This window comes from Homo sapiens, chromosome 5, assembly GCF_000001405.40.
Source record: "Homo sapiens chromosome 5, GRCh38.p14 Primary Assembly".
Classification (NCBI taxonomy): domain Eukaryota; kingdom Metazoa; phylum Chordata; class Mammalia; order Primates; family Hominidae; genus Homo; species Homo sapiens.
Window position 1 is genome coordinate 46,309,545 of NC_000005.10, and position 15,750 is coordinate 46,325,294.

General features: G+C 37.2%; 3 annotated features.

Moving 5' to 3' along the window:
* Window positions 12,778-13,308: an enhancer, noted in NCBI's record as "OCT4-NANOG hESC enhancer chr5:46322424-46322954 (GRCh37/hg19 assembly coordinates)". NCBI's record gives its function as "activates a minimal SCP1, AML or CMV promoter by ChIP-STARR-seq in primed H9 embryonic stem cells {active_cell/tissue: H9 hESC(primed)}" and the evidence as "EXISTENCE:reporter gene assay evidence [ECO:0000049][PMID:30033119]".
* Window positions 13,839-14,368: an enhancer, noted in NCBI's record as "OCT4-NANOG hESC enhancer chr5:46323485-46324014 (GRCh37/hg19 assembly coordinates)". NCBI's record gives its function as "activates a minimal SCP1, AML or CMV promoter by ChIP-STARR-seq in primed H9 embryonic stem cells {active_cell/tissue: H9 hESC(primed)}" and the evidence as "EXISTENCE:reporter gene assay evidence [ECO:0000049][PMID:30033119]".
* Window positions 14,369-14,898: an enhancer, noted in NCBI's record as "OCT4-NANOG hESC enhancer chr5:46324015-46324544 (GRCh37/hg19 assembly coordinates)". NCBI's record gives its function as "activates a minimal SCP1, AML or CMV promoter by ChIP-STARR-seq in primed H9 embryonic stem cells {active_cell/tissue: H9 hESC(primed)}" and the evidence as "EXISTENCE:reporter gene assay evidence [ECO:0000049][PMID:30033119]".

Consider the following 15,750-nt stretch of genomic DNA (forward strand, 5'->3'; position numbering starts at 1 on the left):
AAAAGAAAGGTTTAACTCTGTGAGTTGATTGCACACATCACAAAGCAGTTTCTAAGAAAGCTTCTGTCTCCTTCTTCTCTGGAGGTATTTCCTTTTCCACCATAGGCCTCAATGCTCTCCCAAATATTCCTTCACATATTCTACAAAAACAGTGTTTCCAAACTGTTCATTCAAAAGGCGGACTTAATTCAGTGAGATGAATGCACACATCAGAAAGCAGTTTCTCACAGCTCTTCTTTCCATTTTTTATCTTAAGATATTTCCTTTTTCACCATAAACTTTTTTGCGCTACAAAATACAGGTTCACAAATTTTGTCAAAATAGTGTCTCCAAACTGTCAGTCAAAAGAAAGGTTTAACTCTGTGAGATGAATGCACACATCACAAAACAGTTTCTCAAAATGGTTCTTTCTATTTTTATCCTAAGATATTCCCTTTTCACCATTGGCCTCTGTCCACTACCAGATGGAACTTCATAGATTAGACAAAAACAGTGTTTCCAAACTGCTCAAGCAAAAGAAAGGTGTAACTCCGCGACCTGAATGTTCACATCAAAATGCAGTTTCTCAGATAGATAGGTTCTGTCTAATTCTTCTCTGAATATATTTCCTTTTCCACCATAGGCCTCAATGTGCTCCAAAATATGCCTTCCAGATTCCATAAAAAGAATGTTTCCAAACTGTACCATTAAAAGAAGGGTTTATCTCTGTGAGATCAATGCACACACAGCAGTTTCTCATAACTCTACTATCTAGTTTTTGTCTGGAGACATTTCCTTTTTCAACATCGGCCTTTTTGTGATACCTAACATCCCTTCACAGAATATACAAAAACAGTGTTTCCAAACTGCTCTGTCAAAAGAAAAGTTTAACTCTGTGTGATTACTTCATACATCACAAAGCAGTTTCTCAAAAAGCTTCCTTGTAGTTTTTATCCAAAGATAGTTCCTTTTTCACCATAGGCTTCAGTGTGCACCAAAATATCCTTTTGCACATTCTACAAAACAGTGTTTCCAAGCTGCTCAATCAATGGAAACTTTTAACTGTTTGAGAAGAAAGCACACATCACAAAGCAGTATTTTAGAAAGCTTTTTTCTAGTTTTTATCTGAAGATATTTTCTTTTTCACCATAGACATCAATGCGCTCCAAAATACCCCATCGCAGAATCCACAGAAATAGTGTTTCCAAAGTGCTCAATCAAAACAAAGGTTTAACTCTGTTGGATAAATGCACATATCAGAAAGCACTTTCTCAGAAAGATTCTTTCTAGGTTTTATCTGTAGATATTTCCTTTCTCACCGTAAGCCTCAATGTGCTCCAAAATAACGATTCGCAGATTCTATGAAAAGGCTGTTTCCAAACGGATCCATCAAAGGAAAGATTTAACACTGTGAAATGAATGCACACATCACAAATCAGTCTCTCAGAAAGCTTCTTTCCAGTTTTTATCAGAAGACATTTCCCTTTTCAAAATATAGGCCTTCTTTGTGCTACATAATATCACTTTGCAGGTTATACAAAAACATTGTTCCCAAACTGCTCAGTCAAAAGAGAAGCTTCACTCTGTCAGATGAATGCAACCATCACAAAGCAGTTTCTCAAAAACTTCTTTCTAGTTTTTATCCACGTATATTTTATTTTTCACTGTAGGCCACAATGCCCTCACAAATATCCCTTTGCAGATTCTACAAAAACAAAGTTTCCAAACTGCTGAATCAAAAGAAAGGTTTAACTCTGTGAGATGAATGCACACATCACAAAGCAGTTTCTCTGAAAGCTTCTATCTAGTTCTTCTCTGAAGATATTTTATTTTTCACCACAGGCTTCAATGCACTCCCAAATATCCCTTTGCAGATTCTACAAAAACAGTGTTTCCAAACTGTTCCAGAGGTAAACCTGTTTGTTTTTTGATTGAGCAGTTTGGACACAGTGTATTTGTGTAACCTGCTTTGGGATATTTGGGAGTGCATTGAGCCTATGGTGATAAAGGATATACACATGGATAAAAACTAGAAAGAAGCTTGTAGATAAACTGCTTTGTGACGTGCGCATTCATCCCACAGAGTTAAACCTTTCTTTTGATAGAGCAGTTCGTACTCACTGTTTTTGTAGAGTCTGCAAAGGTATATTTGGGAGCGCATTGAACCCAATGGCGAAAAAGGAAATATCTTCAGATAAAAACAGATAAGAAGCTTTCTGTGAAACAGCTTTATGATGTGTGCATTCATCTCAGAGAATAAAAGCTTTTTTTTATTGAGCAGTTTGTAAACACTGTTGTTGTAAAATCTCTGTAAGGATACATGGGAGCGGATTGAGACTTATGGTGGAAAAGGAAATATCTTCTGATAAAAACTAGAAAGAAGCATTCTGAGAGACTGCTTTGTGACACGTTCACTCACTTCACTGAGTTAAAACTTTCATTTGATTGAGAAGTTTGGAAACATTGCTTTTGTAGAATTGCCATGACATTTCTGAGTGCTGGGAAACTTTTGAGAGCATTGAGGCCAATGTTGAAATAGGAAATATATTCAGATAAAAACTAGAGAGAAGCTTTCTGAGAAACTCTTTTGTGATGTGTGAATTCTTCTCACACATTTAAAACTTTCGTTTGATTCAGCAGTTTGGAAACACTGTTTTTGTAGAATCTGCAATGGTATATTTTGGAGTGCATTGAGGCCTACTGTGGAAAAGGAAATATTTTCAGAGAAGACGTAGATAGAAGCTATCTGAGAAACTGCTTTGTGATGTGTGCATTCATCTCAGAGTTAAACCATTCTTTTGATTGAGCAGCTTGGAAACACAGTTTTGTAGAATCTTCCAAGGGATATTTTGGAACTCACGTGGCCTATGGTGAAAAAGGAAATAACTTCAGATAACAACTATAAGGAACCATTCTGAGGAACTGCTGTGTGATGTGTGCATTGTCCTCACTCAGTCAAATTGTTCTTTCATTTGAGCACTTGGAAACACTGTTTTGGTAGAAATTGTGAAGGGATATTTGGGAGCACACCGATGCCTATGATGAAAAAGGAAATAACTTTGGATAAAAACTACAAGAACCTTTCTGAGAAACTGCTTTGTGATGTAGGCATTCATCTCAGAGAGTTAAATTTTTCTTTTGGATGAGCAGTTTGGAAACACTCTTTTTGCATAATCTGCAAAGTGATATTAGGTAGCACAAAGAGGCCAGTGGTGAAAAAGGAAATATCTTCAGAAAAAATTGGAAATAAGCGTTATGAGAAACTGCTTTCTGATGTGTGCATTCGTCTGACAGAGTTAAGTCCTTCCTTTGATGGAACTCTTTGGAAACACTGATTTTATATAATCTGTGAAGCAATATTTTGTACAGCAAAAAGGCCTGTGGAGAACAAGGAAATTTCTTCAGATACAAAATGGAAGGAAGCTTTATGAGAAACTGATTTCTGATGTGTGTGTTCATCTAACAGAGTTAAAGCCTTCTTTTGATGGAACAGTTTGGAAACACAGTTTTTATAGAATCTGTGACGGGATATTTGGGAGAGCTTTGAGGCCTATGGTGGAAAAAGAAATATATTCAGGGAAGAACTAGACAGAAGCTATCTGAGAAACTTATTTGTGACATGTGCGTGTATCCCACAGAGTTAAACCTGTCTTTTGATTGAGCAGTTTGGACAAACAATTTTGTAGTATCTGCAAAGGTATATTTGGGAGCGCATTGTAGCCTCTGTTGAAAAAGGAAATACCTTTGGATAAAAACTAGAAAGAATGTTTTTGAGAAACTGATTGATACATGATGTGTGCATTCATCTCACAGAGTTAAACTTTTCCTTTGATAGAGCAGTTTGGAAATTCTGTTTTTGAATAATGTGCAAAACGATGATAAGTAGCTCAAAAAGGCCTACGGTGAACAAGGAAATACATTCAGATAAAAACTTTGAAAAAACTTTAGAAGAATATATAACTAAAATAACCAATAAAGAGAAGTGCTTAAAGGAGCTGATGGAGCTGAAAACCAAGGCTCAATAAGTACGTGAAGAATGCAGAAGCCTCAGGAGCCAATGCGATCAACTGGAAGAAAGGGTATCAGCAATGGAAGATGAAATGAATGAAATGAGGCGAGAAGGGAAGTTTAGAGAAAAAAGAATAAAAAGAAATGAGCAAAGCCTCCAAGAAATATGGGACTATGTGAAAAGACCAAATCTACGTCTGATTGGTGTACTTGAAAGTGATGGGGAGAATGGAACCAAGTTGGAAAACATGCCGCAGGATACTATCCAGGAGAACTTCTCCAATCTAGCAAGGCAGGCCAACATTCAGATTCAGGAAATACAGAGAACGACACAAAGATACTCCTCGAGAAGAGCAACTCCAAGACACAGAATTGTCAGATTCACCAAAGTTGAAATGAAGGAAAAAATGTTAAGGGCAGCCAGAGAGAAATGTCGGGTTACCCTCAAAGGGAAGCCCATCAGACTAACAGCGGATCTCTTGGCAGAAACCCTACAAACCAGAAGAGAGTAGGGTTCAATATTCAACATTCTTAAAGAAAAGAATTTTCAACCCACAATTTCATAGCCAGCCAAACTAAGCTTCATAAGTGAAGGAGAAATAAAATACTTTACAGACAAGCAAATGCTGAGAGAATTGTCACCACCAGGCCTGCCCTAAATGAGCTCCTTAAGGAAGCACTAAATATGGAAGGGGAAAACCGGTACCAGTCACTGCAAAGTCATGGCAAAATGTAAAGACCATCGAGACTAGGAAGAAACTGCATCAACTAATGAGCAAAATAACCAGCTAACATCATAATGACACGATCAGATTCACACATAACAATATTACCTTTAAATGTAAATGGGCTAAATGCTCCAATTAAAAGACGCAGACTGGCAAAATGGATAAAGAGTCAAGACCCATCAGTGTGCTGTATTCAGGAAACCCATCTCACATGCAGAGACACACATAGGCTCAAAATAAAAGGATGGAGGAAGATCTACCAAGCAAATAGAAAACAAAAAAAGGCAGGGGTTGCAATCCTAGTCTGTGATAAAACAGACTTTAAACTAACAAATATCAAAAGAGACAAAGAAGGCCATTACATAATGGTAAAGGGATCAATTCAACAAGAAGAGCTAACTATCCTAAATATATATGCACACAATACAGGAGCACCCAGATTCATAAAGCAAGTCCTGAGTGACCTACAGAGAGACTTCGACTCCCACGCATTAATAATGGGAGACTTTAACACCCCACTGTCAACATTAGACAGATCAAAGAGACAGAAAGTCAACAAGGATACCCAGGAATTGAACTCAGCTCCGCACCAAGCGGACTTAATAGACATCTACAGAATTCTCCACCCCAAATCAACAGAATATACATTTTTTTCAGCACCACACCACACCTATTCCAAAATTGACCACATACTTGGAAGTAAAGCTCTCCTCAGCAAATGTAAAAGAACAGAAATTATAACAAACTATCTCTCAGACCACAGTGCAATCAAACTAGAACTCAGGATTAACAATCTCACTCAAAACCGCTCAAATACATGGAAACTGAACAACGTGCTCCTGAATGACTACTGGTTACATAATGAAATGAAGGCAGAAATAAAGATGTTCTTTGAAACCAATGAGAACAAAAGCACAACATACCAGAATCTCTGGGACGCATTCAAAGCAGTGTGTAGAGGGAAATTTATAGCACTAAATGCCCACAAGAGAAAGCAGGAAAGATCCAAAATTGACACCCTAACATCACAATTAAAAGAACTAGAAAAGCAAGAGCACACACATTCAAAAGCTAGCAGAAGGCAAGAAATAACTAAAATCAGAGCAGAACTGAAGGAAATAGAGACACAAAAAACCCTTCAAAAAAATTAGTGAATCCAGGAACTGGTTTTTTGAAAGGATCAACAAAATTGATATACTGCTAGCAAGACTAATAAAGAAAAAAAGAGAGAAGAATCAAATAGACACAATAAAAAATGATAAAGGGGATATCACCACCGATCCCACAGAAATACAAACTACCATCAGAGAATACTACAAACACCTCTACACAAATAAACTAGAAAATCTAGAAGAAATGGATAAATTCCTCGACACATACACTTTCCCAAGACTAAACGAGGAAGAAGTTGAATCTCTGAATAGACCAGTAACAGGATCTGAAATTGTGGCAATAATCAATAGCTTACCAACGAAAAAGAGTCCAGGACCAAATGGATTCACAGCCGAATTCTACCAGAGGTACAAGGAGGAACTGGTACCATTCCTTCTGAAACTACTCCAATCAATAGAAAAAGAGGGAATCCTCCCTAACTCATTTTATGAGGCCAGCATCATTCTGATACCAAAGCCAGGCAGAGATACAACCAAAAAAGAGAATTTTAGACCAATATCCTTGATGAACATTGATGCAAAAATGCTCAATAAAATACTGGCAAACTGAATCCAGCAGCACATCAAAAAGCTTATCCACCATGATCAAGTGGGCTTCATCCCTGGGATGCAAGTCTGGTTCAATATTCACAAATCAAGAAATGTAATCCAGCATATAAACAGAGCCAAAGACAAAAACCACATGATTATCTCAATAGATGTAGAAAAAGCCTTTGAAAAAATTCAACAACCTTCATGCTAAAAAGTCTCAAAAAAATTAGGTATTGATGGGACGTATTTCCAAATAATAAGAGCTATCTATGACAAACCCACAGCCAATATCATACTGAATGGGCAAAAACTGGAAGCATTCCCTTTGAAAAGTGGCACAAGACAGGGATGCCCTCTCTCACCACTCCTATTCAACATAGTGTTGGAAGTTCTGTCCAGGGCAATCAGGCAGGAGAAGGAAATAAAAGGTATTCCATTAGGAAAAGAGGAAGTCAAGTTGTCTCTGTTTGCAGACGCCATGATTGTATATCTAGAAAACCCCATTGTCTCAGCCCAAAATCTCCTTAAACTGATAAGCAACTTCAGCAAAGTCTCAGGATACAAAATCAATGTACAAAAATCACAAGCATTCTTATACACCAATAACAGAAAAACAGAGAGCCAAATCATGAGTGAACTCCCATTCACAATTCCTTCAAAGAGAATAAAATACCTAGGAATCCAACTTACAAGGGATGTGAAAGACCTCTTCAAGGAGAACTACAAACCACTGCTCAAGCAAATAAAAGAGGATACAAACAAATGGAAGAACATTCCATGCTCATGGGTAGGAAGAATCAATATCATGAAAATGGCCATACTGCCCAAGGTAATTTACAGATTCAATGCCATCCCCATCAAGCTACCAATGCCTTTCTTCACAGAATTGGAAAAAACTACTTTAAAGTTCATATGGAACCAAAAAAGAGCCCTCATCGCCAAATCAATCCTAAGCCAAAAGAACAAAGCTGGAGGCATCACACTACCTGACTTCAAACTATACTACAAGGCTACAGTAACCAAAACAGCATGGTCCTGGTACCAAAACAGAGATATAGATCAATGGAACAGAACAGAGCCCTCAGAAATAACACCGCATATCTACAACTATCTGATCTTTGACAAACCTGAGAAAAACAAGCAATGGGGAAAGGATTCCCTATTTAATAAATGGTGCTGGGAAAACTGGCTAGCCATATGTTGAAAGCTGAAACTGGATCCCTTCCTTACACCTTATACAAAAATCAATTCAAGATGGATTAAATACTTAAACGTTAGACCTAAAACCATAAAAACCCTGGTAGAGAACCTAGGCATTACCATTCAGGCCATAGGCATGGGCAAGGACTTCATGTCTAAAACACCAAAAGCAATGGCAACAAAAGCCAAAATTGACAAATGGGATCTAATTAAACTAAAGAGCTTCTGCACAGCAAAAGAAACTACCATCAGATTGAACAGGCAACCTACAAAATGGGAGAAATTTTCGCAACCTACTCATCTGACAAAGGGCTAATATCCAGAATCTACAATGAACTCAAACAAATTTACAAGAAAAAAACAAACAACCCCATCAAAGAGTGGGCGAAAGACATGAACAGACACTTCTCAAAAGAAGACATTTATGCAGCCAACAGACACATGAAAAAATGCTCATCATCACTGGCCATCAGAGAAATGCAAGTCAAAACCACAATGAGATACCATCTCACACCAGTTAGAATGGCAATCATTAAAAAGTCAGGAAACAACAGGTGCTGGAGAGGATGTGGAGAAATAGGAACACTTTTACACCGTTGGTGGGACTGTAAACTAGTTCAAGCATTGTGGAAGTCAGTGTGGTGATTCCTCAGGGATCTAGAACTGGAAATACCATTTGACCCAGCCATCCTATTACTGGGTATATACCCAAAGGACTATAAATCATGCTGCTATAAAGACACATACACATGTATGTTTATTGCGGCATTATTCACAATAGCAAAGACTTGGAACCAACCCAAATGTCCAACAATGATAGACTGGATTAAGAAAATGTGGCACATATACACCATGGAATACTATGCAGCCATAAAAAATGATGAGTTCATGTCCTTTGTAGGGACATGGATGAAATTGGAAATCATCATTCTCAGTAAACTATCACAAGAACAAAAAACCAAACACCGCATATTCTCACTCATAGGTGGGAATTGAACAATGAGAACACATGGACACAGGAAGGGGAATATCACACTCTGGGGACTGTTGTGGGGTTGGGAGAGGGGGAGGGATAGCATTGGGAGATATACCTAATGCTAGATGACGAGTTAGTGGGTGCAGCACACCAGCATGGCACATGTATACATATGTAAGTAACCTGCACAATGTGCACATGTACCCTAATACTTAAAGTATAATAAAGAAAAAAAAATTTCCTGCTAGTTTTTATCCGAAGGTATTACCTTTTTCATGAAAGGCCTCACTGCACACCCAATTTTGCCTTTGCAGATTCTACAAAAAGAATGTTCCCAAACTGCTCAACCAATAAGGAGGTTTAACTCTAGAAGAAGAATGCGCACATGTCAGAGCAGTTTCTCAGAAAGCTTCTTTCTAGCTTTTATCAGAAGATATTTGCTTTGTCAGCAGAGGACTCATTGTGCTCAAAAATATATCTGCACTCACAAATATCCCTTTGCAGATTCTACAAAAACAGCATTTCCAAAGTGATCAATCAAAAGAAAGTTTTAACTCTTTCTATTTTCTATGTGAATATAATTCCTTTTGCCCTGTAGTCTTCAATGTGCTCCCAAATATCCCTTTACAGATTCTACAAAAACAGCATTTCCAAACTGCTCAGTGAAAAGAAAGTTGTAACTCTGTAAGAAGAATACACATATCACAAAGCAATTTCTCAGAAAGCTTCTGTATAGTTATTCTCTGAAGATATTTCCTATTCCACATTAGGCCTCAATGCGCTGCCAAATATCCTTTTGCAGTTTCTACAGAAACAGTGTTTGCAAACTGTTCCATCAATACAAGGACTTAAATCTGTGGGATGAATGCACATATCAGAAAGCAGTTTCTCATGAGGTTTCTTTCCAATTTTTATCTCTAGATATTTCCTTGTTCACTATAGGCTTTTTGAGCTACCAAATATTTCTTCGCAGAATTTGCAAAAACAGTGTTCCCAAATTCCTCAGTCAAAAGAAAGGTATAACACTTTGAGATGAATGCACACATCACAAAACAGTTGCTCAAAAATCTTCTTTCTAGTTTTTATCTGAAGATATTTTCGTTTTCACCATTGGCTTCAATGTGTTCCCAAATATCCCATCGCAGATTCTACATAAACAGTGTTTCCAAACGGATAAATCAAAAGAAAGCTTTAACTGTGATATGAATGCACACATCACAAAGTACTCTCTCAAAAAAATTCTGTCTAGTTTTTATCTGAAAATATTTCCTTTTCAACTCTAGGCCTCAATTCTCTCCCAGATGTCCCTTTCCAGATTCTACAAAAACAGTGTTTCCAAACTGCTCAGTGAAAGGAAAGCTTTAACTCCATGAGATGAATGCAAATATCACAAAAAATTTCCCCAGAGGGCTTCTTTCTACTTCTTCTCTGATGATACATCCTTTTTCACCATAGGCCTCAATGCACTCCCAAATATTCCTTGGCAGATTCTACAAAAAGAGTGTTTCCAAAATTCTCAATCAACAGAAAGGTTTAACTCTGTGAGTTGAGTGCACACATCCCATAGCAGTTTCTCAAAAAGCTTCTTTGTAGTTTTTATGTGAAGATATTTCCTTTTTCACCATGTGAAATATGTGAAGATATTTCCTTTTAGGCACTGAAAAATATACCTTAGAAGATTCTACAAAAAGATTGTTTCCAAACTGTTCCATCAAAAGAAGGACTTAACTCTGTGAGACGAATGCAGAAATAAGAAAGCAGTTTCTCATAACTCTTCTTTCCAGTTTTATCTGAAGGTATTTCCTTCTTCACCATGGGCTTTTTTGTGCTACCTAACATCGCTTCCCAGATTTTGTCAAAACAGTGTTTCCAAACTGCTCAAAAGAAAGGTTTAAGTCTGCTCAAAAGAAAAGGTTTACCTCCGTGAGATGAATGCACACATCACAAAGCTGTTTCTCTGAAATATTCATTCTCATTTTTTATTGGAGATATTTCCTTTTTCAACGTAGGCTTCAATGTGCTCCCAAATATCCCTATGCAAATTCTATAAATACAGAGTTTATGAAGTGTTCCATCAAAAGAAGGATTTAACTTTGTGAGATGCACACTTTCCAGTGAGAATGCAGAATTTCCAGTTTTTATCTGAAACTATTGCCTTGTTCACCACAGGCCATTTTGTGCTACCTGGGATCACTTTGCAGGTTATACAAAAACAATGTTTCCAAACTGCTCAGTCAAAAGAAAAGTTTAACTTTGTGAGAGGAAGGCAAACATCTCAAAGCAGTTTCTCAAAAAGCCTTTTTCTTCTTTTTCTCTGAAGAAGATATTTCCCTTTTCACCATAGGCCTCAGTGCACTCCCAAATATCCCCTTGCATATTCTACAAAACCAGTGTTTCCAAACAGCTCAATCAAAAGAAACATTTAACACTGTGAGAAGAATGCACACATCACAAAGCGGTTTCTCAGAAAGCTGCTTTCTAATTTTAACCTATGGTTATTTCCTTTTTCATGTTAGGCCAGGTACATTCCCAAATATCACTTTGCAGATTCTACAAAAACAGGGTTTCCAAACTGATCAACCAAAAGAAAGGTTTACCTCTGTGAGGGAAATGCACACATCACAAAGCAGTTTCTTAAAAAGCTTCCTTCTAGTTTTTATCTGTACCTATTTCCTTTTTCATCATAGGCTTCAATGCACTCCCAAATATCCCTTCGTAGATTCTACAAATACAGTGTTATCAAACTGCTCAATCAAAAGAAAGATTTAATTCTGTGAGACGAAGGCACTTTTCAGAAGGCAGTGTCTCAGAAAGCTTCTGCCTACTTCTTCTTTGAAGATATTTCCCTTTCCAACATAGGGCTCAATGCACTCCCAAATATCACTTCACAGTTGCTACAAAAGCAGTTTTTCCAAACTGTTCCCTCAAAAGAAGGACTTATCTCTATGAGACGATTGCAGATATCAAAAAGCAGTTTCTCATAACGCTTCTTTCCCATTTTTATCTGAATATATTTCCTTGTTCACCATAGGCCTTTTGCACTACCTAATCTCACTTGGCAGATTACAGAAAAACAGTGTTTCCAAACTGCTCAGTCAAAAGAAAGCTTTAACTCTGTGAGATGAATGCATCCATGCTTCAGCAGTTTCTCAAAGAGCTTCTTTCAACTTCTAATCCAAAGATATTTCCTTTTTCACCAAGGCATCAGTGCACTCCAAAATATCCCTTTGAAGATTCTATATAAAGAGTGTTTCCAAACTGCTCAACCAAAGACCTGTTTAACTCTCTGAGAAGAATGCACACATCACTATCCAGCTTCTCAGAAAGGATCCTTCTGGTTTTTTGCTGAAGTTATTTCCTTTTTCAATATAGGCCCCTTGTGCTCCCAAATATCCCTTTGAAGATTCTTGTAAAACAGTGTTCCCAAACTAATCAATCAAAAGAATGCACACATCATAAAGAAGTTTCTCAGAATGCTTCTGTGTAGATTTCATATGAAGATATTTGCTTTTCCACTGCAGTCCTCAAAGTGCTCCAAAGAGCCATTTGCAGATTTAGAAAAACAGTGTTTTGAAACTGCTCAATCAAAAGAAAGTTTCAACTATGTGAGATGAATGCACACATCACAAAGAAGTTTCTCAGAATGCTTCTTTGTAGTTTTTATGTGAAGATATTCCTTTTCCACAATATACCTCAAAGTGCTCCAAATATCCACTTGCAGATTGTACAAAAAGAGTGTTTCAAAACTGTTCAGTCATGAGATAGCTTCAACTCTATGAGTTGAATGCACACATCATGAAGAAGTTTCTCAGAATCCTTCTGTGTAGTTTTTATTTGAAGACATTTCCTTTTCCACCACAGGCCACAAAGGGCTCCAAATAACAACTTGCAGATTCTAAAAAAAGGGAGATTCAGACTGCTCAATAAAAAGATATGTTCCACTCTGTGAGTTGAATGTACACATCACAAAGAATTCCTCAGAATGCTTCTGTGTAGTTTTTATGTGAGGATATTTCCATTTCAACCATAGGCCTCAAAGTGCTCCAAATATCCACTTGCACATTCTACAAAAAGAGTGTTTCAAAACAGCTCAATCAAAAGATAGGCTCAACTCTGTGAGATGAATGGACACATCACAAAGAAGTTTCTCAGAATGCTTCTGGTGCAGTTTTTATGTGAAGACATTTCCTTTTCCACAATAGGCATCAAAGCCCTCCAAATATCTACTAGAAGATTCCACAAAAAGAGTGTTTCCAAACTGCTCAATCAAAAGAAAAGTTCAACTCTGTGAGATGAATGCACACATCACAAAGAAGATTCTAAGAAAGTTTCTGTATAGTTTTTATGTGAAGATATTTCCTTTTCCACCATAGTCCACAAACAGCACCAAATATCCAGTTGCAGATTCTACAAAAAGAGAGATTCAAAACTGCTCAATCAAAAGATAGGTTCAACTCTGTGAGTTCAATGCACACATCACAAAGAAGTTTTTCAGAATGCTTCTGTTTAGTTTTTATGTGAGGATATTTCCTTTTCCACCATAGACCTCAAACGCCCCAAATATTCACTTGCAGACTCTGCAACGAATGTTTCCAAACTTCTCAAACAAAAGAAAGGTTCAAATCTGTCAGATGAATGCACACTCGAAAAGAAGTTTCTCAAAATGCTTCTGTGTAGTTTTCATGTGAAGATATTTCCTTTTCCACGACAGGCCTCAAAGCGCTCCAAATATCCATTTGCAGATTCTACAAAAAGAGTGGTTCAAAACGGCTCAATCATAAGATAAGTTCAACTCTGAGAGTTGAATTCACACAACACAAAGAAGTTTCTCAGAATGCTTCTGTGTAGTTTTTATGTGAAGATATTTCCTTTTCCACCATAGGCCGCAAAGGGCTCCAAATATCCACTTGCAGAACCTACAAAATGAGAGATTCAAAACTGCTGAATCAAAAGAAATGTTCAACCCTGCAAGATGAATGCACACATAGCAAAGAAGTTTCTCAGAATGCTTCTGTGTATATTTTACGGGAAGATATTTGCTTTTCCACTGTACACCTAAAAGCACTCAAAATATTCACTTGCATATTATACAAAAAGAGACGTCCAAAACAGCTCAATCAAAAGAAAGTTTCAACCCTGTGAGATGAATGCACACATCACAAAGAATTTTGTCAGAATATTTCTATGTAGTTTTTATGTGAAGTTATTTCCTTTTCCACATCAGGCCTCAAAGCGCTCCAAATAGCCAATTGCAGATTATACGAAAACAGTGTTTCAAAACTACGCAATCAAAAGAAAGGTTCAACTCTGTGAGATGAATGCACACATCACAAAGAAGTTTCTCATAATGCTTCTGTGTAGTTTTTATGTGAAGATATTTCCTTTTCCACGATAGGCATCAAAGTGCTCCAAATATCCACTTGCAGATTCTACAGAAAGAGTGGTTCAAAACTGCTCAATCATAAGATAGGTTCAACTCTGTGAGTTGAATGCACACATCACAAAGAAGTTTTTCAGAATACTTCTGTGTACTTTTTATGTGACGATATTTCCTTTTCCACCATAGGCCACAAAGGGCTCCAAATATCCACTTGCAGATGGTACAAAAAGAGAGATTCAAAAGTACTCAATCAAAAGATAGGTTCCACTCTGTGAGATGAATGCACACATCACAAAGAACTTTCTCAGAATGCTTCTGTGCAGATTTTATGTGAAGATATTTGCTTTTCCACTGTACACCACAAAGCACTCCAAATATCCATTTGCAGATTCTACAAAAAGAGGGTATTAAAACTGCTCAATCAAAAGAAACGTTCAACTATGTGAGAGGAGGCACACATCACAAAGAAGAGTCTCAGAATTCTTCTGTGTAGTTTTTATGTGAAGATATTTTCCTTTCCACCAAAGGACACAAAAGGCTCCTAATACCCACTTCCAGATTCTACAAAAAGAGTCTCACAACTGCTCAATCAAAAGATAGGTTCAACTCTGTGAGTTGAATGCACACATCACAAAGAAGTTTCTCAGAATGCTACTGTGTAGTTTTTATGTGAAGATATTTCCTTTTCCACAATAGGCCGCAAAGCGCTCCAATTATCCACTTGCAGATTCTACAAAAAGGGTGCTTCAAAAATGCTTAATGAAAAGAAAGTTTCAACTCTGTGAGATGAATGCACACATCGAAAAGAAGTTTCTCAGAATTCTTCTGTGTATTTTTTATGTGAAGATATTTCCTTTACCTCCATAGGCCACAAACAGCTCCTAATAGCCATTACCAGATTCTACAAAAAGAGAGTTTCAAAACTGCTCAATCAAAAGCTAGTTTCAACGCTGTGAGTTCAATGCCCAAATAACAAAGAGGTTTCTCAGAATGCTTCTGTGTAGTTTTTTGTTCAGATATTTCGTTTTCCACCTTAGACTTCAAAGCACTCCAAATATCCACTTGCAGATCCTACAAAAAGAGTGTTTCAAAACTGCTCAATCAAAAGGAAAGTTCAACTCTGTGAGATGAATGCACACATCACAAAGAAGTTTCTCAGAATTCTTCTGTGTAGTTTTTAGGTGAAGATATTTCCTTTTCCATCATAGGCTGCAAAGGGCTCCAAATATCCACTAGCAGATTCTACAAAAAGAGATGTTCAAAACTGCTTAATTAGAAAATAGGTTCAACTCTGTGAGTTGAATGCACACATCACAAAGAAGTTTCTCAGAATGCTTCTTTGTATTTTTCATTTGAAGATATTTCCTTTTCTGCCATAAGCCTCAAAGCGCTCCAAATATCCACCTGCAGATTCTAGAAAAAGAGTGTTACCAAACTGCTCAATGAAAAGAAAGGTTCGACTATGGCAGATGAATTCACACATCACAAAGAAGTTTCTCAGAAAGCTTCTGTGTAGTTTTTATGTGAAGATATTTCCTTTTCCATCATAGGCCGCTAGGGGCTCCAAATATCCAATTGCAGGCTCTACAAATAATAGAGAGATTCAAGACTTCTCAATCAAAAGAAACGTTCAGTTCTGTGAGTTGAATGCATACATCACAAAAATTTTCTCAGAATATTTCTGTGTAGTTTTTATGTGAAGATATTTCCTTTTCCACAACAGATCTCAAAGAGCTCCAAATATCCACTTGAAGATTCTACAAAAAGTGTGTTTCC